The following is a 25158-nucleotide window of genomic DNA, read 5'->3' as shown; positions in this document are numbered from 1 at the left end:
GCTCTGGATTCTGGAGCCCATTCATCCCAGGCAGTGGGGGCTCTGGATTCTCATCTGGGTGTTGTGGTGCAGCATGCATGTGTGCTTGTGCAACTGTGTGCACTTGGAGCCACAGCCTCAAGCCTTGGTGTCTTCCTCTGGACAGTGGAGACATCAGCACGTGTGGTCCCAAAGTCCTCGTGGCCCTGTGTGTGCAGCAAGTCCAGCCCAGGGCAGCCACACCAAGGCTCCGGTGTCACCCTGTGATGGCCGCGGCACCCTGTCCTCTCTCTCCTGTGCCCCCACAGATGTTGCCGTCTCCTGCCTCTCGTGTCTTCCCCACATGTGTCCTTTGCCAGTGCTCCCTGCAGTTTCCCTTGTCTGGCCTGTGCTGCGTGGAGGGTGCACCTCTGAAGATCACGCAGTCCTCAGGGGGCCCTGGGATCAAAGGTGTGTCCACGGTTAGTGTGCTGAGGTCTCACTCTGTGCTTGTTGCTGGGACTAGAAGGGGAAATGAGGCAGAGTCTCTGCTCTTAGGCAGCGTGGAGCCCGCCCAGCCTGGTGTTATGGGGGTACCGGCTTCACAGTAGGATTTGGATTTGAATCCCAAATCTACTCAGTAAATAACTGTGCAACTTTCAGCTCTCCGAGGTGTGCAGTGGGGACGATCATGGTTCTGGCTCTGCAGGGCTGTTGGGAGACCGCACGAGAGGGTGATGCTGGTGTCAGGGCTCCGGCGGTCGACTTCGTGGGACATCATGGGGCTGTTGGGTGGGGGCGTGGTTTTGCATTTTGCTGACTATTAGAGCTTTTAAAAACCGGGGGAGCTTTAAAAGATCCGGGTGGTCAGGCCACACCTCTTGACAAATCAGAATTCAGGGAATGAGGCCAGTGTCAATATTTCTAAGACATGGCAGCTTTTCCCCCAGGTGGCCGTGGTAAGCTTTGGGAGCTGGGGGCCGAGCTTCTCAGCCTGTGTCAGCATCTCCTGGACATCCCGATGGACTGCAGATCACTCGCCCGGCCCACTTCCTGGTGCACTGGTCTGAGCATTGTCCTTTGAAAACCACCAGATGTCGGGGAAATAACGTTTGCTGTGGCGTCTGGGGCAGGAAAGGAGGAAGCGGAGCACAGGCCAAGCTCGGAGGATGGGGGATTTTGCTAGAAGGGTATTTAATAAGGTTTGCTGTGTTTCACACTGAGGGACGCATAATGGAACCCTGGGCACTGCAGAGCTGTGAAGTGCCCAGGAGACACCAAATTAACTTTCTCTTAGAGCTTTCACCTCAGTTTTCAACCACGTCTTCTCACTCCCAATTTCTAAAACTCCCAGGAGACCCGGAACCCTTCCAAATGGATGAAAATTCAGTCAGAGGTGTGAAGTTTTGGCCCTGCTGAGAACACTCAGGGTGTAAATAATGAACTTGGAAGGAGTTTTGACGGTGGCTTTACTGCGACTCTCCCCAGGCCAGGCTCGCCCTGGAGGGGGAGGTCTGGTGTTAACGCCCCTCACCGTGCGCTGACTGGGGCCGCGCATCCGCTGTGTTCCCGCAGGCCGAGGTAGCACCTTTGCTAATGAACTTGGAAGGAGTTTTGACGGTGGCTTTACTGTGACTCCCCCCAGGCCAGGCTCGCCCTGGAGCGGGAGTTTTGGTGTTAACGCCCCTCACCGTGTGCTGACTGGGGCCGCGCATCCGCTGTGGTCCCGCAGGCCGAGGTAGCACCTTTGCTAATGAACTTGGAAGGAGTTTTGACGGTGGCTTTACTGTGACTCCCCCCAGGCCAGGCTCGCCCTGGAGAGGGAGGTTTGGTGGTAACGCCCCTCACCGTGTGCTGACTGGGGCCGCGCATCCGCTGTGGTCCCGCAGGCCGAGGTAGCACCTTTGCTTTCAGGGCTAGTGGTGTCTGCTTATCAAGGCCAGGGTAGACACCTGCCCGCTGGAAGTGTCCAGAGACATTGCACCCGAGATGCTGAGGAGCCCTGGGAGGGACACGGTTTCTTCTCATTGGGGATTCTGGGGATGTTCATTGGAGTTAGGAGGAATGCAGAGCGTGGATACTGTGCAAACAGATAAGGACGCTTTCAGGAAATAAGCATCAGGAAAGGGGTCAGAAGACTCAGCCTGGATTCTTGGTGGCTCATCAGATTCATAGCAAACCACAAACACTGAATCCACCCTGCGTGCGCCATTGCTGTGTAGACGTATGATGGACCCTCCTTGGATATTAATTCAAACAAATTAACTACAAGATGACTTTTTTTTTAATTAATGGAATTTAGCACTGACCGGATACTAGAACATTATTAAAGACCAGTTGCTGTTAACTAATGTTGCTGGTGTGATACTGGGTTTGTGATGACATTTTTTAAAGCCCTCATGTGGGTGAGTTGTGGTGATCCTGGTGCTGTGGGAGATGGAGGCGGGGGAATCATTGAGCCCAGGAGGTGGAGGCTGCAGTGAGTCGTGATTGTGTCACCGCCGTCCAGCCTGGGCAACAGAGTAAGACCCCGTCTCCCCTAAATAAAATAAAATGAGATAAGTCCTCATTTGCTAGAGATACACAGAATATGGTGTAGTAGATTTTCTCTAACTGACTCCACCCTCAACCCTGGAAAACAGGGAGGGGTGGCAGGGGAGACGGATGGAGTGAAACATGAGCCACTGCAGAGTGATGGGTGGCCATGGCCGATGGCGTCCGTGCCGTTATCTTCTCTGCGGAGCAATGGGGGGCCGTGGCCGATGGCATCCGTGCCGTTATGTTCTCCGCAGAGCGATGGGGGGCCATGGCCGATGGCATCCGTGCCGTTATGTTCTCTGCAGAGCAATGGGGGGCCATTGCCGATGGCGTCCGTGCCATTATGTTCTCTGCAGAGCGATGGGGGGCCGTGGCCGATGGCGTCCGTGCTGTTATGTTCTCTGCAGAGCAATGGGTGGCTGTGGCCAATGGCGTCCATGCTGTTATCTTCTCTGCAGAGCGATGGGTGGCTGTGGCTGATGGCATCCGTGCCATTATCTTCTCTGTGGAGCAATGGGGGGCCGTGGCCGATGGCATCCGTGCCGTTACGTTCTCTGCAGAGCGATGGGGGGCCATTGCCAATGGCGTCCGTGCCATTATGTTCTCTGCAGAGTGATGGGGGGCTGTGGCTGATGGCGTCCATGCCGTTATCTTCTCTGAAGAGTGATGGGTGGCTGTTGTCTTCTCCGCAGATTGATGGGGGGCCGTGGCCGATGGCGTCCATGTCGTTGTCTTCTCTGCAGAGCGATGGGGGGCTGTGGCTGATGGCGTCCATGCTGTTATGTTCTCTGCAGAGCAATGGGTGGCCGTGGCCGATGGCGTCCATGCCGTTATCTTCTTTGTAGAGCGATGGGTGGCCATGGCCAATGGCGTCCATGCTGTTATGTTCTCTGCAGAGCAATGGGTGGCCATGGCCGATGGCATCCGTGCTGTTATGTTCTCTGCAGAGCAATGGGTGGCCGTGGCCGATGGCATCTGTGCCGTTATGTTCTCTGCAGAGTAATGGGTGGCCATGGCCGATGGCGTCCATGCCGTTGTCTTCTCTGCAGAGCGATGGGTGGCCATGGCCGATGGCGTCCATGCCGTTGTCTTCTCTGCAGAGCGATGGGTGGCCGTGGCCGATGGCGTCCGTGCCGTTGTCTTCTCTGCAGAGCGATGGGTGGCCGTGGCCGATGGCGTCCGTGCCGTTGTCTTCTCTGCAGAGCGATGGGTGGCCGTGGCCGATGGCGTCCGTGCCGTTGTCTTCTCTGCAGAGCGATGGGTGGCCGTGGCCGATGGCGTCCGTGCCGTTGTCTTCTCTGCAGAGCGATGGGTGGCCGTGGCCGATGGCGTCCGTGCCGTTGTCTTCTCTGCAGAGCGATGGGTGGCCGTGGCCGATGGCGTCCGTGCCGTTGTCTTCTCTGCAGAGCGATGGGTGGCCGTGGCCGATGGCGTCCGTGCCGTTGTCTTCTCTGCAGAGCGATGGGTGGCCGTGGCCGATGGCGTCCGTGCCGTTGTCTTCTCTGCAGAGCGATGGGTGGCCGTGGCCGATGGCGTCCGTGCCGTTGTCTTCTCTGCAGAGCGATGGGTGGCCGTGGCCGATGGCGTCCGTGCCGTTATCTTCTCTGCTTTCGTGTATGTTTGAACATTTCTATAATAAAAACTTAAGTGAAAAGCTTACTGTGCTGGCTGCCTGGAGGTGTGGTGTTTCTGTTCATTTTGTTTTTAGGGTGGGAAGTAGTGGGATTGGGGGTCCATGGGGGCCATTTCTTGGGTTTTCCTGAAGTGGGTTCTGTGCTTGGCATCATGAAGCAAGTGGAGCGTGTGTTTGCTCCATGCCTGTGGGCTGCGTGGAGGCAGCCTGACAAACACATTTCGAGGGGCCCCCGGGGGGTCGCTGAGGCTGTGTATGTCTGTTCCATGCAACAGCCGTCATCTCTGTTTTTGAACACATTGACAGTGTGTAGTCTGCTTGGGGGGATGTTCGAGGTCAACAGAGTGGCCAAAAGAGGCTCTCTCGTCATTGCAATGATCCACACTCCACTCTGCTGTCACTGAACCTGCCCCCAAGCCTGCACCCTCTTCATCTCTTCTTTGTCTATAGCAACCATCCCCAATCCTGACATCAGTGATTGTGTGTGTTGTGTCTTGTCTGTCCTCCATAGCAACCATCCCCAATCCTGACATTGGTGATTGTGTGCGTTGTGTCTTGTCTGTCCTCTGTAGCAACCGTCCCCAATCCTCACATCAGTGATTGTGTGTGTTGTGTCTTGTCTGTCCTCCATAACAACTGTCCCCAATCCTCACATCAGTGATTGTGTGTGTTGTATCTTGTCTGTCCTCTGTAGCAACCGTCCCCAATCCTCACATCAGTGATTGTGTGTGTTGTGTCTTGTCTGTCCTCCATAACAACTGTCCCCAATCCTCACATCAGTGATTGTGTGTGTTGTGTCTTGTCTGTCCTCTGTAGCAACCGTCCCCAATCCTCACATCAGTGATTGTGTGTGTTGTGTCTTGTCTGTCCTCCATAACAACTGTCCCCAATCCTCACATCAGTGATTGTGTGCGTTGTGTCTTGTCTGTCCTCTGTAGCAACCATCCCCAATCCTCACATCAGTGATTGTGTGCGTTGTGTCTTGTCTGTCCTCCATAGCAACCATCCCCAATCCTGACATCGGTGATTGTGTGCGTTGTGTCTTGTCTGTCCTCCATAGCAACCATCCCCAATCCTGACATCGGTGATTGTGTGCGTTGTGTCTTGTCTGTCCTCCATAGCAACCATCCCCAATCCTGACATCGGTGATTGTGTGCGTTGTGTCTTGTCTGTCCTCCATAGCAACCGTCCCCAGTCCTGACATCGGTGATTGTGTGTGTCTTGTCTGTCCTCCATAGCAACCGTCCCCAATCCTGACATCGGTGATTGTGTGCATTGTGTCTTGTCTGTCCCCACCTAGAATGTGAGTTTCATAGGAGGAGACTTGTCTGCTTTGCTGAGTTTCTAAGTGTCTCCGTCGGTTCCCTGCACATGGTCAGTGCACAACAAATGTCAGTTGAATGCTTAGTACTTAGGAGACATGAGGCTTTCAATTTTCCTCAGTTAATTTGTGTGACAGTAATGCATATATATGGTTCACTTAAAAGCCGAGTAATATAGGGCTTAAAATAAGAAGCAACAGATCCTGCCCCTCTTTCCTGAGCTCACCCAGGGGCAACAGTAGCCTCTCCCACGTTGAGGTCCTGCGGCAGCTGCCACTTTTCCATATGGTTCCACACCATCTCATCAGGAGTTGACTCAGTCCTCCTCTGTGTAGCCCCTGTGGTGCCCCCTGCACTGTAGGGTGAGGACTGTTCTCTTTCAATTCCCCTATGTCCAGGCTGTGTTAGCCAACCCTGTGGTGCCCCCTGCACCGTACGGTGAGGACTGTCCTCTTTCAATTCCCCTACATCCAGGCTGTGTTAGCCAACCCTGTGGTGCCCCCTGCACCATACGGTGAGGACTGTCCTCTTTCAATTCCCCTACGTCCAGGCTGTGTTAGCCAACCCTGTGGTGCCCCCTGCACCGTACGGTGAGGACTGTCCTCTTTCAATTCCCCTACGTCCAGGCTGTGTTAGCCAACCCTGTGGTGCCCCCTGCACCGTACGGTGAGGACTGTCCTCTTTCAATTCCCCTATGTCCAGGCTGTGTTAGCCAACCCTGTGGTGCCCCCTGCACCGTACGGTGAGGACTGTCCTCTTTCAATTCCCCTACGTCCAGGCTGTGTTAGCCAACATTTAGTTTTCACACTGTCAAGTTAAAAGCATCATGCCCAGCCCTGCAGCTGCAGTGATGGGTGGATCCTCGGGGTGCTCCCTGTGTTGCAGCTGTACCAGCGTTGATTGCAGACAAGCCGAGTGGGGCCCTCTGTGCCCCTGAGCCACGGGGCAACAGAGTAAGACCCCGTGTTACTCTGGAGGAGAAGACTCTTTGTGCAGTTCCAAGAGATGCTCCTGCTTCATCCTGCAACAGCCGCCCCAAATGTGCCACTTCTAACTGTGGTGTTGGGACTTTCTCTTCTTGCATAGTTTTTCTTTGTGTTTCCCAAAGGTTCTGGTCACTTCCTTTCCTTTGTGTCTCCCTCCTCATCCCCTCCTGACCTCACTCACTCCACCTGTCTTATCGAGCCCCCCAAGCCCAGAGGTGTCCGCTGGAATCCTGGCTCTCCAGCCCAAGGTCACCTTGAGATGCCACAGTCTGTGAGTGGGAGGGGAAATCGGTGGGGTGGCAGGAGGCCGCCCGGGACAAGGTTGCAGGGGCAGGTGCGTGGCGTGCTCAGAGCTCCTGGGTGAACCAGGGAGAATGGGGAAGGCCTTGAGGAGCCTGGCGACGGTGAACCCGGCAGGTCCATGGTCTCCACTGGGAGATGGGGAGGACCCGCTGGGCAGGGGAGACAGTGCTTCTGGGTGAGAAGGTTTAATTCTGTAAGGATATGAATTCTCTCTGAATAAACCTATACATGTAAGTTATCACAACAGCATATTAACAATTTTTTTTGAAATTAAACGAACTAGCTTTAAAGTCCAGGTTCAGACACAAACATGAGACTAAACAGAAAAGTTATGAAAAAGAAAGTTGTGTGTGGGGCGTTGAGTCTTGCACACTCAGTGCTTTGCAGTGATGGGACACTTAAGCCAGAGTGGGGAACAGACGGGCAGATTGAAGGGAAAGAATAGAAAGTCTAGAAATAGACCCAAATGCGTATGGGTATTTGGTATATGATAATGATGACATTTTAAATCGGTGGGGAAAAGATGTATTATTCAGTAATGATTTGGGGACAACTGGCCAGACATTTGGAAAATACATAGCTGGGTCCCTCCCAAACTCCTTACCCCAAAATAAAATCCAGATGGCACAGAGACTTAAAAATATAATGGAATTTTACAAGTACTGGAAGAAAACGTGGGGGAATTTTTAATAATTTTGCGATGGAATTAATTTTTTTAAGGAAGACAGCCCAATATCTAAGGAAATTAAAATTCACATAACTTTAACTCACCAGCCTGACTCCTGGGAAGTTATGTGATGGATGTTCAGGCCTGGGTGTAAAGAACCAAATGCGCAATGATTCTGTGAAACATTATCATAGGAAAAAACCGCGAGCGTTCTAAACACCCTTCAAGTTGTGGTTCATCTTCAAGACGGAGTTAGGTAGATGGGCTGACACAGAAGGACCTCAAGACATTTTGAAATAAAAAAGGAAGATGAGAACAGCTGGAATCCATATTAGAAGAAGATGAACCTGGACCGAATTTCTTTCGGAGACACCAACTCCTGTGCTCATGGGTGTGAAAGGCAAGACTATAAAGGTTTTCAACTGAGAATATAATGTTTCATGACTTTAGGGCGGAGAGGAAGGTTTTGAGACAGGACACAAAGAGTGCTAATTGCAAAGGAAATTACTGATAATTTCAACTATATTAAAATCAAGAATAACTCTTAGTAAAAAAGACACCGTAAAGAGAATTAATTAAAAGACAAGCCACAGAATGGGAGACAATATTTTCAACACATGTAAATGACATGTAACCGACAAAGATCTCACGTTCAAAACAGAGAGGACCCTGACAAATCACTGAGAACAAGGCAACGAAGGAAACATTTGCAAAACATTTCAGAAGTTCTAAGGAGAAAATTCAAATGACTGAGAAATACGTAAAATGGTCTTCAACCTAATTATTAAATTGGAGTGATGAAGACGGAAGCCGTATGAAATTCAGCAGCTCCCCTACTAGACGGGCAAAAACCGGAAGCACCAGCTCCAGGTGCAGCTGCGACGTGGGGCGGGGAGTTCCTGGAAGCACCTGGCTGTGATACACAACCTCTGAGCTCCTCGGGGGCTTGGACAGCAGGTGGGCAGGTGTGCTGGAATGTGGAGAGGTGTGTTTGCTGCGGCTGAGGTTTCGCTCCTTGCCCTCCACGCAGCAGAAGCACACGTACGCCTGGTCAGGGAGATGCGCAAGGAAGCGCGTAGGTGGCATCGTTTACAGTCTCCCCAGGCTGGACGTGACCCACATGCACTTTGGTGGTGGAGGAGAGGAAGATTATTTTATTTTCATACAATGGAACAGTGGAATTTAGCCATGACGGGGCGACTCGGATCATCTCACAGACATGAAGCTGAGTGAAAGAAGGAAGGTGTGAAAGACGACAGGCCCTGTGAATCTGGTGCAGAGGCAGGCGCGGCCGTGAGCACAGCTTCCATCAAGTCGGCGGTGGCTCCCCATGAAGGTGCAGCAGGGGTGGGGGTTCCAGCTGCTGGCGGGACTATTTCTTGAGTGCTGTTTGGATGAATATTCACTTAATATTGTTTGCTATACGATGCGTTTTTGTGCGCATTTCTCTATTATATCTATGAGGTTAAAAAAAGCAAGAATGAATCTCAGTTGTGTTTCACCAGTGTGTGTGTATGTGTCCTTGTGTGTGGGAAGACATTCTCTGAGGCAGCGGTTATGGACTGAATGTGTCTCATTGAACTCAGTGTGTAGAAGGCCAAACCCCCAGGGGATGGTGCTGGGAGGAGAGGCCTTTGGGCCGTGATTGAGTTAGATCACCCGTGAGGGTGGGGCTCCCACGATGGGATAGGTGGCCTTTGGGCGGTGATTGGGTTAGATGGGGTCTTGAGGGCAGGGCTTCCGTGAAGGGACCAGTGCTCTCGTAAGAAGAGGAAGAGTCCTCTCTCCTCCATGTAAGGACGCGGTGAGAAGCCAGGCGGAGGCCATCACCAGAGCAGACTGTGCTGGCACCCCCATCCCAGACTTCCAGCCTCCAGACCATGAGGACGTTTCTGTGTGAGTCACCCAGTCTGTGGCACCACGGCATCCTCACCAGGTTCATCTGTGCTGTGGCCACCTTGGATTCGTCTGTACTACAGCAACGTTTTGTGTTGTAGCTTTGCCTTTGCTTAACTTTGTAAACCAAATATTTTAGGAAGAAAAAGAGGTTTAGTGTTCCTGTTTGCCAGGAAAATCACAAGGGATTATGCGATTGTGAATGAACTAAGGGTCACCAGTGCAGGGGCTGCGGGAAACTGATGTGTGACATGCTCTCCACTCATCCTGGCTCCATTACCACACTGAAGTGGCATCCATGAGTTTGGAAATCACTAAGGCAAAGAAGTAAGGGCTGAACTCCTCCAAATGTTCCTGACTATGAATTAAGCCTCACGGGTTCACTTCTGCCTGTTGGTGTTTGGTCTCGGCCCGCGCTATGTGTCTTGCTTCTGCCTGTTGGTGTTTGTTTGGACTCGGCCCGCGCTGTGTGTCTTGCTTCTGCCTATTGGTGTTTGTTTGGACTCAGACTGCGCTGTGTGTCTTGCTGTTGTGGGAATCTGTGCATCGTCCTCTCTTGGTGACTCCTGAGCCAAGGCTGACACTCCACTCTTCGAGCAAACTGAACTATAGCATGATTGTATCTGCTGCTGCTCCGGGAGGGCCCTGTGGGCCGACCACCCTCACCTGCCCTTGGGCCAGCCCTTGCTTCCTCTGGAAGCTTCTTGAGCTTGAGTTGTGGGATTGACATGTACCTGGAATTGTTGGTTTTGGTATCTGTCATTGGAGACACCATCCCTACCCCACGCATGACCTGGGAGAAAACGGACTTTGACGTTTGATTGTTTTCAGTGTTCACTGGGAGGGAAGAGAAGTCAGGATTACTTTTCCTCTGGTGTGAAAGTCCCTGGACCCTAAACACACCCTGTTGTCCACAGGTGGTGCCGAGTCCCACAAAGGAACCTGGAATCCAGCTGAGTGGGCACGTGCTGCCTGTCACGGCCCTTCATGTCCTGAACATCTGTTGAGAGGAGGCGGGGGTGTCACCTTAATTCCATCTTGGACACCACAGTGACACAAAGTGCAAAGTGCCGTGCCCCTCATCCCCACAGATATGTGGCATCCCACTGGTCTCCTAACCACCCAACGCCGTTGCTCCTGACCATTGGAAACGCTGGTGGGGCTGGAGCACCTGGACAGTCCAGTCTCGTTCTAGTGGCTGGACTGGAGTGGGGTTGCCTTGAACCCGTCTTAGGCTGGAAATGCCCCCAGCAGCAGTGCCAGGGGAACTCTCACTGGGGCCTGCCCTGGGAGCCCCGGGGAACACTTGTCAGTTCAGCTCTGACCTTAAGGTGGGACTGCCCCATGCCCTTGGCCCAGGAGTGGGAGCTGCAGGAGGAGCCCCTCATGCTACGGCCCTCCCGCTGAGGGGCTCCCCTGGGGGCCTCAAATTCAGCATCAGGCGCCAGTGAAGACTCAGCTCCTCTGGAGGGGACCCCCTCCCCACCCCACCCTCCTGCACTGCAGCGCTGCCCAGACCTGGGTCTGCGGAGACTTCTGTTTGCCTCTGGCCTGATGAAAGCAGTGTGGAAACCAACCTCCCTCCTCCTCCCCAGATCTCTTCTCTTTTTGGGGGGTTTTCATGCTAACTTACTATTTTCTCTAATTAAGAAGCAATACATGGCTATTATGAAACATTTAGAAAATGTATAATAAATACTAAAATAATGTTACCGTTCTGATTTATATCCTTCCAAGTCCACTTCTCTCTGTGTTCTAAGGATGATTCTCAGACACCCAGCCTGCTCCTGTGTCTGGGCCACTCTGCTGGGGGCATGTTGTTGCCGACCTGGCCTGTGGCCTTCCCTGTGAGATTCATCCTGGGAGTGGTCCCAGAAAGCAGCCCTGGCGGTGGAGTGGCTGGAGTGGGGCACGCCATGCTGGGCTTGGCTTCACCCTCAGCAGTGAGGCCCTCTTGCTGCCCTGCTGAGTCGGCACCTGGCCTGGCCCAGCATCCTCGGGCTGACGATGATGCCGGGCTGAGGGCCTGTGTCCTGCTGGCATTTGCCCTGTGCCGTGTGGCTGGGTAGCATGGCCAGGAGCCGGGGTGGGGCAAGACCGTGGCTTGTCATTTCCAACCCTCTGAGGCCCCTTTGTGGATGGCAGCAGGGGCTTCAGCACTGCCCCCGCTCTCGGCTCTGCTGGTGCTCGTACCCCGGCACCTGCGCAGAGAGGTCAGCTCCCTGGCTACGGGGCAGCCTTCGTCTTCACTGCCCGCTTGGCTAACAGCTTGACGCAGCCCACCACTGGCCCAGGCCTTGGAGGGATGTTTGCTTTCCAGGGGCCTGGCAGGACGCAAGGCAGGCCGGGTACCCGTGCAGGTGGCTTTGTTTCCTGGAGAGGTGGGGAAGAGGCTCTGGCAGCGGGAGCAAGCTGGGCGGGTCGGCCTTATCGGGCCGCGTGGGCAGCATGTGTGGCTGAGCCACCGGGCTCCCTGGGGCCCTGCTGCTTCTGGGCTGCCCAGCTGGGCAGGTGGTGCCGCCCTGGCCTGAGTCCGTCAGGGCCTAATTATGGAGACGGGTCTTGTGCTCTGTAGTGGTTATTAGCTGCCTTCCTCTTTTTTTTTGGTGCCAAAGAATTCCATTTGGGGAATTTATACAGCCAATTAGGTATTTAGCTCAAGGCAATTAATGGCTGGAATGCAAGCATTAGCTAAAACCTAAATTGGAATTCATACATCCACGCTTTTGCTTAACGGTGGAGGCTGCAGGGAGGCACCGAGTGTTGTCTGGGGAGCTAGGAGAGGCTGCCCAGGCCCAGAGAGGAACTCCAGATTGGCTGTGGATTCATGGCTCTGTCCTTGCTTGGGAAGGAATGTTTCAGTGTTTCAGAGCAAAAATTTTAAATCTGTTTGACAATCAGAGGCCATCCTGGTCCTGCCTGGAGCTGCTGTTGGCCTGCCCCACCTGGCATCCTAGCTGCGTCCTTACTGGGCACGTATGTCACCGCCTTCATCTCTTTCAAAGCCACCCGTGGGCTTCTGGTCATATTGTGATGACCCTCGAAAGTGACGGATGCCGTGAGGCCGTGGGAACAGGAGCTAGGAGGCTGCAGGCCGGCCGCCTTCAGTCCACAGAAGCCAGATTTGAGGTGGGTTCCGGATGTCATGGGTGCCCTGGACAGGTGGCTGTGTGACAGCCCAGCGTGCCTGATGGTGGACAGAGGCTGGGGCTGCCATGGGGCTGGGCTTCTCCCCAGACAGGGAGCAGTGGAGAATTCTCACCAAAAATCCAGATAGATGAAACCAAACAACAAAACTTACTGCTTTTCTCATCAACCAAGTAATCTCTGAGGAAATTACACCAGGGACCATTGGATTTTCAAGCTGCTCCGTGTGTCCATGGCAGCCCAGGCAGGGTCCAGGTGGGGTCTGCCCGCCGGGGGCGGCTGTGGCCCAGGCAGAGTCCGGGTGGGGTCTGCCCGCTGGGGGTGGCTGTGGCTCGGGTGGGTCTCCGTGTGTCCATTGCAGAGCCTGGGTGGGGCCTGCCTGCCGGGGGCAGCTGTGGCTTGGGTGGGGCTCCAGCTCTCACGACAGACTCCATCGTGAGTGGGCCCAGCGTGGTCCGACCACAGCAACACCTCATACTGGCCTGGGAATTTCCACATTAAAATATAGTTGAAAGTATTCAATTTAATGTAAAATTAAAATGTACTTTTTCTTACCTATAGCTTATAGATTGGGGGTAATTTTTCTCTGTCTCTCACACATTCAGGCACACACCCACCCCATAAACAGTCCCTCAACCTCTAAGTGGTTTGCAAGGACAGAATGTGCCCAGGAAGACCTGGGGCGAGCTGGGAATCCGGACTTTGGGCAACTGTGTGTTGGTGGGCTGGGTGGGGCAGGAGCCTGGGGTGCTGGGGCACCAGGGTTTACCTGCCCACGCTGAGTGTCCTGGGTTCTCACGTGTCCTGAGTTCTCACGTGGGGTGGTCCGAAGGCTCACCTGGGCGCCCGGGTTTACCTGCTCATGCTGAGTGTCCTGGCTTCTCACATGCGGTGGTCCGAGGGCTCACCTGGGCGCCGGGGTTTACCTTCTCACATGGGGTGGTCTGAGGGCTGACCCGGAGGCTTCTGAGCACTGACATGGTCTTGCCAGTGTCCACTGATGATGCGTCTGCTGCTCTGTGGCTCACGGGGACAGGAGGAGGTGGGAGCAGGAGCCATCTGGGGCAAAGGAGGGACAGGCTGACTTGGGGCAGAGCGCCCTCTCAGGGTCTCCTGGCCCCACCAGGCAGCATAGACCCCAAGATGCGGCAGGAAGCTGTTCCCTTGATGAGCAGCAGGCGGCTGTCTGCGTTCAGCCCTGCACCTTTGCCCACTCATTGTTGGAGGACGGCCCCGTTATGGGCTGGGGCAGAGGCGAGGGGTGGGTGGAGATTAGGGCCAGACGAACCTGAAGGCCCTCCAGAGCCTCTGACCTGTTCCCGAGAGGCCGCGGGGTCACTGGTCCGGCTCAGGCTCTGCCAAGGAGCCTCCTTGGGGTTTCTGGCGCCTGCACTCAGGGACGGCACCACCTGCGATGGAGGCTGCTGTGCAGTGTAGAGTGTGGTGGAAACTCCCTGCCTGGGTTGCAGACGGGGGGATTTAATTAGGGAAGGGATCCAGGGTGAGGACAGTCAGGGCAGAGGTGAGCAGGTGGGGGCGCTTGGCTCTTCCTTTGGTGGTGAGAACAAGCTCAGGGCCGAGTCAGCCACACAAGGCTTCAGGCTGTGCAGATAAGGAAGGGCTGGCCAGCCTCGGGGACAGGGCAGTGGGGCTGAGGGGCTGTGTCACCCAGGGCCTGCCCCCTCTGGAGACAAAGCCCTGAGGCTGGGACATGCCTGGGAGGAGGCTCTTGCCCAGCGAGGGTGAAGGGCATCCAGCTCTCCCCAGCCCTCCTGGTTAAGCCCAGCTCAGGCCCTTTTGGGGAGAAGTCACGGTGGCAGGTCTCACGGTCCACACGCTGTGGTGGGCTTGCTGCTGTGCAGAGGGCCGTGGTCTGGCATGGTGCCCCGCCGGGTGCGGCCGCGTTTTCAAGAGGATGCAGGGGGAGAATTGTTGATGAAAGAGAGCGGGCCCTGAGCAATGAACTTGGGGTGTAAGCTGCACAGCAGTGAGGGGACACTGGGGGCTTTCTTGGGATCCCAAAAATGGCCGTAGGAGAGGACCTGGCTTCTGTGCATGTGACGCAGGCCCTGTGGGTCTTGGGGTCTGTGAGGAGCACTGAGGACGAGGAAAGGGAGACAGGCTGAGGCCATCTCGGTTGGATTCCACAGGAAAGGCCGCAGCCAGTTTTCCTGAGACGTTCTGGCGAGCAGCTGCACGGTCCGAGGCTTTCACTTGCTTTTCATTTTAGGCTCACTCTGGGTCTAGGGGGGTCTTGGTGCTGTGTCTAAGCTGCTCTAACAGGGTTTTGGCCTGGGACTCTGAGGCTCGGCCTCTTCTCACACAGGTGGTAGAGAGATTCCTGCCCCCAGCCGGGAGGGCAGCGTCAGGTTTATCAAACTGACGTTTGCAGCAGGTGTGGAGATTTTGAGTGAAGTCAAATCAGGTTTTCAGGGAGAAACAAACACTGGCCGTGGGTGGGGACTTGGGGACCCAGTGGGGCTGCAACAGGGGAGGAGGCGCCTGGGCGCTGGGGCTCACGGCCGGCTGGGGCTCACCTCAGCTTCCCGAGCACAGTCTGTGATGGCACTGGCGTGGCCTGGCCTCTCCAGGACCTGTTAGGAGGTGACGGTGGACAGGCCTGTGAACATTCCGCTCTTGCTGGAGCCAGGCGAGGCTGCCGGAGGGGTGCTGGGCTGCAGCATCCCTGGGGCAGGTGCCTGTCTCCCTGCCTGTTGGAGGGGTGAGTGGCAGTGCCCACAGGCCCCCTCCCTTCTCTAGCACCTCCCCGTGCAGTGGGAGAGGGCAGGACCCTGACTGAACAGGGCCATCCTGAAAGGAGGAGAAGGTGCTGCTGGAATGACACCCAGAGACGGGTATGAGCCCAGACACCCAGGACTTGGGGTAGGCCAGAGATGGGTGTGAGCCCAGACACCCAGGACTCGGGGTAGGGTGCCACATGGGAGCAGCTCTGCCCCTGGCCGTCCCAGGCAGCCCCGTTGCTGGTGGCCAACAGTCCACTCTGACACCGTCACCCAGACAAGGACCCCCAGAGCCTCACATGGTAGAGGAAGCTCCTGTGTGATTCACCTGCTGGCCACAGGCCTTGGAACCCTCCCTGCTGAGTCTTACTTTTAGGAAGGACCTCATGGGCACCCCTGGTAGGAAGAGGTGGCTCGCCCAGGTGGGGACAAGCAGCTCGCACGCTTGGCAGGAAGATTTGCCCCACGCCGCTCCCCCATCAGGAAGATTTGCTCCACGCTGCTCCCCCTGTTGGGAGGAGTCGCCCCACGCCGCTCCTCCTGCTTCCTCCCCTCCCTGAGGCATCCTGGTAGCCAGGGCAGCCCAGGATTCAACCTAAGAGCTGCATAGCGTGACTGACCAGGCGGCGGGCAGCCCCCAACTCTTACAGACCCGTCAGTGGGGAAACAGTCTCGTCAGTTCTCCGTTGATTCATTTTAGCCTTTACCCAGAAGTCAAGTTTGTCTGCTGATTTGATATAAACCTACCCTTGGATTTCCGGCAACTCAGGCAAGAGGTGGCAACTTCGGAGCCTTCTGTGCCTTCGGGGAGAAGCCATGCCTGGCGCTGCCCTGGAGCCGCGGGAGCCGCTGGGCTGAGCCACGGAAGATGGGCTTGGAGCGTCCTCCGCAGCCTCCGCTCCTGCCTCTGCCCACAAAGACCCGCTCGCCCAGTGACCTGTGGCCACCTAGTGGGAACAAGACATTTGCAATGTGCTTGTTGACCAGGTTAAGAGTCATTCTGGTTTAAAGGGAACAAAAAAGGTGTTTTTTTGCTTTTTTTTTTTTTTTTAATACTTATTTGTGTTCCTGAAAAGGCTTCTGTCTGCTTTAGTACCGTCTTTCTAGGCCAAAGACTATGCTCTAGATTTATAAATATTTCTTTTAACTCACTAATGTGCTCATTTGCTTGGAGGCCCTGTCCTCCTCTTGTCCGTAAGGCAAGAATGGTGGCAGGAGATAAAATCTGTTTTAACTTCTCCAAAAATGGAAACGTGTCATTTTATTTTCTGACAAAAAAGGAAACATACATTCCCTTCCGTGCCTTTTTCATATGCATGTTTCCTGTAACTAGAATTAAAGCACACAGGAGAAAAGGAAGCAGGCGGAACGCTGCATGGCTGGGTGGTGCAGAAGGGTACAAGCCACAAAATCAGAATCACCTCCTTACGATCCTAAAGCCCCAAAATAATCATGGTGAAGAACATTCGGGTAAATGTCTGTTTAGATGCTCTTCTGGGCACACACATAACAAAAATGGAATCCTGTAGTTCTGCAAATTTTTCTTATCACTTACCAAATCTCTTACTCCTGAATGCTGAGTGGGCTTCCACTGTTGAATACTGATACGTAGCATCCATGGCATGCAGGTGCCATTATCTAGTGAACCAACCCTCTAGTGGAGAAAAGGTAGGTTGCAGTGTTTCTTCATCATGCAGATGATAACCATGAATAGGTAACTGGTCACTTTCAGCTCTCGTACGTTTGCACATAGAGAATACCATGCATTTCAGGGTTCTCAGGCTCAGCTTCTTTACACATTGTATGATGACATTCTCAGCTCATCTTTGCTCTCAGATTTTTAACCATGTCAGGTAATCAGAGAATGATTTCCTTGCTGCCACCATCACCACTGCCATGACCATTACTATCACCATCACCACCACTGCCACCATTGCCATCACCATCACCACCACTGCCACCACCATCACTATCACCACCACCACCACTGCCGTGACCATCACTATCACCATCACCACCACTGCCACCACTGCCATCACCATCACCACCACTGTCACCACCATCACTATCACCATCACTATCACCACCACTGCCATGACCATCACTATCACCACCACCACCACTGCCATGACCATCACTATCACTATCACCACCACCACTGCCATGACCATCACTATCACCATCACCACCACTGCCATGACCATCACTATCACTATCACCACCACTGCCATGACCATCACTATCACCATCACCACCACTGCCATGACCATCACTATCACCATCACCACCACTGCCATGACCATCACTATCACCATCACCACCACTGCCATGACCATCACTATCACTATCACCACCACTGCCATCACCATCGCTATCACCATCACCACCACTGCCACCATTGCCATCACCACCACCATCACTGATCACCATCACCATCACCATCACCACCATTGCCATCACCATCACTATCACCACCACCACCACTGCCATCACCATCACTATCACCACCACCACCACTGCCATCACCATCACTATCACTATCACTGCCATCACCATCACTATTACCATCACCACCACTGCCACCACTGCCATCACCATCACTATCACCATCACCACCACTGCCATGACCATCACTATCACCACCACTGCCACCACTGCCATCACCATCACTATCACCATCACCACCACTACCATGACCATCATTATCACCACCACCACCACTGCCACCACTGCCATCACCATCACCACCATCACTGATCACCATCACCATCACCTTCATTGCCATCACCATTACTATCACCATCACCACCACCACCATCACCATCACTATCACCATCACCATCACCATCACCTTCATTGCCATCACCATTACTATCACCATCACCACCACCACCATCACCATCACTATCACCACCACTGCCACCACTGCTATCACCATCACTATCACCACCATCACTACCACTGCCATCACCACTATCACCATCACCATCACTACCACCCCTATCACTACCACCAGCACCACCATCACTACCACCCCCATCACTACCACCATCACTACTACCACTGTCACCACCACCACGACTACCACCACCCCCATCACTGCCATCACCACCACCACTACCACCAACACCACTACTACCCCATCACCATCATCACCACCACCATCACCACTATCACTACCATCATCATCACCGTCACCACCACCACCTTCACCACCACCACCAATACCACTGCCCCCACCACCACCCCCGTCACTGCCATCACCACCACCACCACTACTACTACCACCATCACCACTACCACCCCCATCACCATCACCACTATCACTAACATCACCACCACCACTGTCACCACCACTGTCATCATCACCACCACCTTCACCACTACTATCCACCCCTATCACCATCACCACCACCACCACCCTGTCACTATCACTACCACCATCACTACTGCCACCATCATCACCACGACCACCTCCATCACCAGTATTACCACCATCACCACCACCATTGTTACCACTATCATTATCACCACCACCGCCGCCACTGCCACCACCACCATCATTACCACATCACCACTATCACCCCTATTACCATCACTACCATCACCACCATCATCACCACCACACCCATAGCTACTACCATTACCACCATCATCACCACCACCACTGCTTTCACTATCACCACCACCACTACCATCACCATCACTGTTGTTGAGGAAGTCTGCCTGAAGCTGTGCTAGAACCCTACTGCACCAGTCCTGAGATACCACAGCCACCACAGCCTCTGATTTGAAGCCCGAATGGAACGGACAATCCATCTAGCTTTTGGGAGCTGGACCTGGAGCATTTGGTATCTGAATGTCAAGTCTTTGGAGGGTGTGTTCGAGGTGGCGACTTTGCCTACCAGAAGGCAGCTTTGAGCATGAGTCTCTACCTTTATGGGCTGTGGCCACACACCATCTGTTGTTGCAACTGAATTTGGGAGAAATGTCCACTCAGAAATGAGGACTCATTAGGGTGAGAGGCCAGGAGGTTGTCAGGACCCAGTAAGACTCATGTGAGGATAGGGAAATTAAGATATTTTCTAACTGATTTAGTACAGTGTGATAGGAAATGCAGATGCCTCAACATGATGTCACAGAACCCCAAACCAATGCCTCCCTGGGTTTCTCATCAATAAATCAGTCAGCCCCAGGCCTCAGTATTTCCACGTTGCAAAATTATTTCCACATTGCAGAATTATTTCCAAAAGATCTAGCTTCCTTGTGGGCACTACGAGGTGCACCCCGTAAATAAGCCTGGAGCTCCACAGACTGGGCCATCTTGTTGGTCGTTCAGAGACTTGTCTTACAATCAGTACAAACTGATTTTCATATCTTTACTTTCTATGTCTATGGAAGATGCATTTAATATGCAATCTTTATATTAATACACATCATGACTTGATATTTAAAAGAATTAGAGATGGTCATGAACTTGAGTTGGCAAGCTTTATCTGTAAAGGACCAAATGATAAATATCTTGGCTTTGAAAGCCACAAAGATTACTGTTTCCTCCTCCTCATCTTACTCCTTCTCCTCTTCTTCTTCTCTTCCTTCTCCTCCTTTCTTCTCTCTTCCCCACTTCTTCTCTGTCCCTGTCTCCATCTCATTTTTCCTACAACCCTTAAAAAAATATAAAAACCATTCTTAGCTCAAAGGCTTGTGAGCACAAAATATCTGAGAAAGGTCTCAGTCAATTTAGAAAGTATTTTGGCAAGGTGAAGGATGCATCCATGATACAGCCTCAGGAAGTCCTGAGACTTGTGCCTGAGGTGGTCGGGGGCTGAGGCATGCGCAGGAGGTGGACGGGGGCCTGAGGCATGTGCCCGAGGTGGTCGGGGGCACAGTTTGCTTTTATACATTTTAGGGAGACATGAGACGTCAATCAATATGTGTAAGACATACTTTGGTTCAGTCCAGTAAGGCGGGATGACTGGAAATGGCGGCTTCCAGGTTAGAAATAGATAAGAGACAAAAGTTTGCATTCTTTTGAGTCCTTGACCAGCCTTCCAGTGAATACACAATTGAGCCTGGCTCAGTGAATCTGCATTTTTACATAAGCAATAGGGGAGAGGGAGCAATGAGATGCATTTGTCTCAGGGCAGCCTCAGAGGGGTGACTTTGAACAGAATGGGAGGCAGGTTTGCCCTGAGCAGTTCCCAGCTTGACTTTTCCCTTTAGCCTGGAGATTTTGGAGTCCCAAGGTTTGTTTTCCTTTCCCAGGCCCTACATGAAAAGACAGGTGGGGTAGGTCCCGGGGCTCTGGTTTGCTGACCCCTGGTCAGAGTGTCTTTGAGGAAGTCACTATCAGTGGAAATGTCACTAAACCCTATATGCTAATCAGCTGGGCATCAGCCTAAAGTGTATTTTCACACAGCACGATTCATCATTAGCAAATTCCAGGAAAATCAACAACGATCAGAACTGACCTTCTCTTGGCTATAATGATCTGTTTGCATCGGATCAGATTTCCTGTGGGGAACAACTAGAAGTGCTGGGTAAAATCCACAGAATGCCTGCTTTGGGGAGCTGCGGAGGCAACCGGGATTTGAGAGGCCAAGATCCTGTTAATTAGCCTGTTTTGATGATTCCACAATGTATATATGTGTTGAAACATCACACCGTAGCCCATAAATATGTACAATTATTTGTCAATTAAAAATAAAATAAAACTTTTTCTTTTTTTTTTTTGAGATGGAGTCCCACTCTGTTGCCCAGGTTGGAGTGCAGTGGCACTGCAACTTCTGCCTCCCAGGTTCAAGCAATTCTCCTGCCTCAGCCTCCCAGTAGCTGGGATTACAGGCATGCACCACCACGCCTGGCTAATTTTTGTATTTTTAGTAGAGACGGGGTTTCACCATGTTGGCCAGGCTGGTCTCAAATTCCTGACCTCAGGTGATCCGCCCACCTCAGCCTCCCAAAGTGCTGGGATGACAGGTGTGAGCCACAGCCCCTGGCCAAAAAAACTTAAAAAAGACCCATCGGAGGGGCACTGTTAGGGAGCCCACTCCCTGCGGGCTGCCTGTCTCCTGGGGGCATTTGTGATTCCTGTCGAAAGAGGCTGAGAAACCAGGCAAGGGCTGTGGAGAAGAGGCAGTGAAACCCACAGAGCACTTGGCAACCTCATAGGGTCATCAACACACAAATAGATGTTTGCATTGCAAAGGTTACCAGGCCCTGAGGAGACTGGATCCCAAAGAGAAAGTAGGTACAGAGGCAATCAGCACCTGTGGCTTTCACCTCTGACACATTTGCCAAATTCTTGAGTTGAATCAGAGGCTGATCAGAAAGCTATGGAAAAGCAGAGCAGGATTTCTGGCAGTCTCATAATGCTGAAGAGATGAAACTGGAATTCAGGAACTTCTAAGAAAGAGGGGCCATCGCACACATCCCAGGTCCCAGCCCCGGATGGGTCATGCCATAGGTGTGAGGATAAACCCCAGGTGACTGAGCCTTCCAAGAATGATGGGTCTGTCTTCTTGTCTCAGGCCTCCCTTGAGTTAAGGGGATCTACCCTCGATCTGGCTGTCTAGTGAGGAGGAAGGTAAGAAGATAGACTCACCCAGAGTCTCTGCAGTTTCATATGTAATGTCTGAATTTCAGTTGTCAAGAAGCAAGACCAAGACACAAAAACAGATGACAACAGTACACCCACAGATAGTTATTATACTTGTTGCAGTCAAATTTTAAAATAACTGTGGTTGATATGTTCAAGAAAATAAAGGGTAAGTGGAAAATTTCACCAGAAAAATTGATTCTATAAACAAAGTAATCAAATGGAAATTCTAGAGCTGAATCTAATAACTCAATAGATGGGCATCACAAAACATTGAGTATGAAGGAAGAGCAGATGAGTGAGCTGGAAGAAGGTCCCTGGGAAATAATGAGGCAGAGTAACAGATCAAAACTGAGAGAAAGTACAGGACGGAGTGTATGAGGCAGAGGAGATCTGTTGGAAAGGTCTATATGTGTAGGTGGAGTCCCAGAAGAGGAGAAGGAAAACAGCTTAGAAGCAATGTTTGAGGCGATGAGAGCTATGATTTTTTTCAAACCTGAAGAAAGACACCAAAGCTTGGATTTTAAAAAATCTATTATATAGCTATTTTAAAGGTAAACAACAGTTGAATATTGGCAGTTTTGTGTGGTTAGTTCAACCTCACAGAATGAACACAAAGAAAACCCTACCTCTGAACATCACTCTAAAATTAGTAAAAACCAAAGTTTAAGAGAAAATCTGGAAAGCAAGCAGAGAAAAATCATAGGAAATTAATCTCTATTGATGAATTGTTTCACCAGAAACCATGGAGACCAGAAGTGTGATGAACCTCGCATGTGATGGAAGAAAACACCCCATCAATTCAAGTTCTCTACTCCCTGGAAATGTTTCTCAGGTATAAAGATGAAATCAAGACGTGACCAGACAGACAGAACTTGAGAGACTCCATCAACAGATGACTCTTAGGAAAAGACAGACAGAACTCGAGAGACTCCATCAACAGATGACTCTTAGGAAAAGACAGACAGAACTCGAGAGACTCCATCAACAGATGACTCTTAGGAAAAGACAGACAGAACTCGAGAGACTCCATCAACAGATGACTCTTAGGAAAAGACAGACAGAACTCGAGAGACTCCATCAACAGATGACTCTTAGGAAAAGACAGACAGAACTCGAGAGACTCCATCAACAGATGACTCCTACGAAAAGACAGACAGAACTCGAGAGACTCCATCAACAGATGACTCTTGGGAAAAGACTGCAGGGGCTTCTGGCAGGAGGAAAGTAAACCCACATGGAAACCAGGAAACAAGGCAGGCAGGGATAGCAGTGGGAACTATCAATGGGTTGGTAAATCAACACGAATATTGGTGGCACAGAAGGTAAAGGAGTTAGTGTTCTCAGGTTTTGGCATTATCCAGGATGCGATAATGCGTGTTACACTAATAAGTCAGGGATCCATGTCCTTTTTTGTGGAAAGAACATATAACATGAGATCCACCCTCTTAACATTTTAAGTGCATGGCACAGTATTGTTGATGACAGCCATGATCTGTACCGCAGATCTCTAGCACTCGTTCATCCTGCAGAACTAAAACTTGATACCCATTGATTAGCAATACCTCACCCTGCCCCGACCCAGCCCCTGGAAACCACCATTCTTCTCTCTGGGTCTACGCATTGGACTATTTTAGATGCCTCGTCTAAGTGAAATCATCAGTGTTATCTTTTCTGTGCCTGGATTACTTCGCTCAGCTCATGTCTTCCAGGTTCATCTATGCTGTCACTTACAGCAGGATTTTCTTCTTTTTTAAGGCTGAGTAATGTTTCATTGTCTAGATATACCACATGTAAAACATCCATCCATCTGTTGATGGACATTTGGGTTGTGGCCACATCTTGGATATTGCAAATAATGCCACAGTTAGTGTGGGAATGCAAGTATCTCTTTGGAGATCTTGATTTTGACTCTTTTGGGTAAAAACCCAGAGTGGGGTTGCTGGATCAAATAGTAGTTCTATTTTTAATTTTTTGAGGAACCTGTATACTGTTTTCCATAAGGACCTTTTGCATTCCCACAACAGTATACAGTCTTCACCAATACTCATCTTTTTTTTTTCTGATAATAGGTATCCTAACAAGTTTGATATGATAGCTCATTGTAGTGCTGATTTAGATTTTGCTGGCGATTAGTGATGTCGAGCATTTTTGTTGTATACCTGCAGTCCATTTGTATTTCTTCTTGTGAGAAATGTCTATTTAGGTCCTTTTGCCCGTTTAAAAAATCAGGTTATTTTGTTTTTGGTTATTGGGTTGCAGCAGTTCCTTATACATTTTGGACATTAACCTTTTAAAAAGTTATACGATTTGCAAGTATTTTATCCTGTTCTGTAGATTGCCTTTTCACTGTTGATTGTTTCTTTTGCAGAAACTTTAGTTTGATGTAGTCTCCCTTGTCTGTTTCTGCTTTTGTTGCCTGAGCTTTTGGTGTCATATCCAAAAAATAATTGCTAAGACCAATGTCATGAAGGTTTTTTCCTATATTTCCTTCTAGGCGGTTTACAGGTTCAGGTGTTATGTTTAAGGCATGAATCCATTTTTAGTTGATTTGTGTGTGTGTATGGTATAAGGTAACGGTCCAATTTTGTTATGTGCATGTGTGTATCCAGTTTTTCTGACACCATGTGGGATGTGATGTGTGTTGCACCATGATAAATCAAGGTCCCGTGTTATTATTTCTAGAATAGCCACAAAAAGAATAGCTAACAAGCTAAGAAAGGGAATCAAAATAATAATAAAAATACTCCATCCAGAAGAAAGCAATAAAGGATAAAAGGAAAAATAAAACAGATGAGACAAATAAAAAAACAAGGTAAGATAGTCGATATAAATCCCAATATATTAGTAATTTCATTGTAAATAAATGAGATAAATACTCCACTCAAAAATTAAAGATTGTCACTAAAAAACAAAACCACACTGCTTGCAAGGGACCACCTTCAATGTTGAGATATAAAAGTTTGAAACGCTGGAAGAGAATACAATGAAAACACTACCCTAAAGAAAGCTGGTATATCTAAACTAATATACAAAGTAGATGTTAAGGCAGGAAGCATTTTCCGAGATAAAAAGGGCCATAATAAATATAAGGGTTGGTCTATCAGGAACACACAGTAATTATAAATTTGATGCACCTGATATAATTTTCAAATGTATAAAGCAAATATTGAGATAATTACCGGAGAGAATAATGCACATTTTTATGCATGTTTGTTTTTATTATTGGTGTGTGTGTCCTGTCATGTATTTAGAGAGACATGCTGAAGCAGGTCTGAAGAACGGGATTAATGGCCTTGATCTAATGGACACACTGCAACTATCAAAATAGAACCTGTGTTCTTTTCCAGTGCACACAGCATACATATT

At 51.1% G+C, this 25158-nt stretch overlaps 1 protein-coding gene across 13 annotated transcripts in view, besides 1 other annotated feature; it reads left to right on the top strand.

Moving 5' to 3' along the window:
- The window catches only part of PTPRN2 (protein tyrosine phosphatase receptor type N2), a 1048768-nt gene that overhangs the window by 128536 nt on the left and 895074 nt on the right, over window positions 1-25158 (top strand). The window lies entirely within an intron of this gene.
- Window positions 21200-21700: an enhancer, noted in NCBI's record as "NANOG-H3K4me1 hESC enhancer chr7:158230280-158230780 (GRCh37/hg19 assembly coordinates)". NCBI's record gives its function as "activates a minimal SCP1, AML or CMV promoter by ChIP-STARR-seq in naive H9 embryonic stem cells {active_cell/tissue: H9 hESC(naive)}" and the evidence as "EXISTENCE:reporter gene assay evidence [ECO:0000049][PMID:30033119]".

The sequence above is a fragment of the Homo sapiens genome, chromosome 7 (genome assembly GCF_000001405.40).
Source record: "Homo sapiens chromosome 7, GRCh38.p14 Primary Assembly".
NCBI classification, from domain to species: domain Eukaryota; kingdom Metazoa; phylum Chordata; class Mammalia; order Primates; family Hominidae; genus Homo; species Homo sapiens.
The sequence above is the reverse complement of the archived record's forward strand: the minus strand, read 5'-3'. Positions and strand labels throughout refer to the sequence as shown.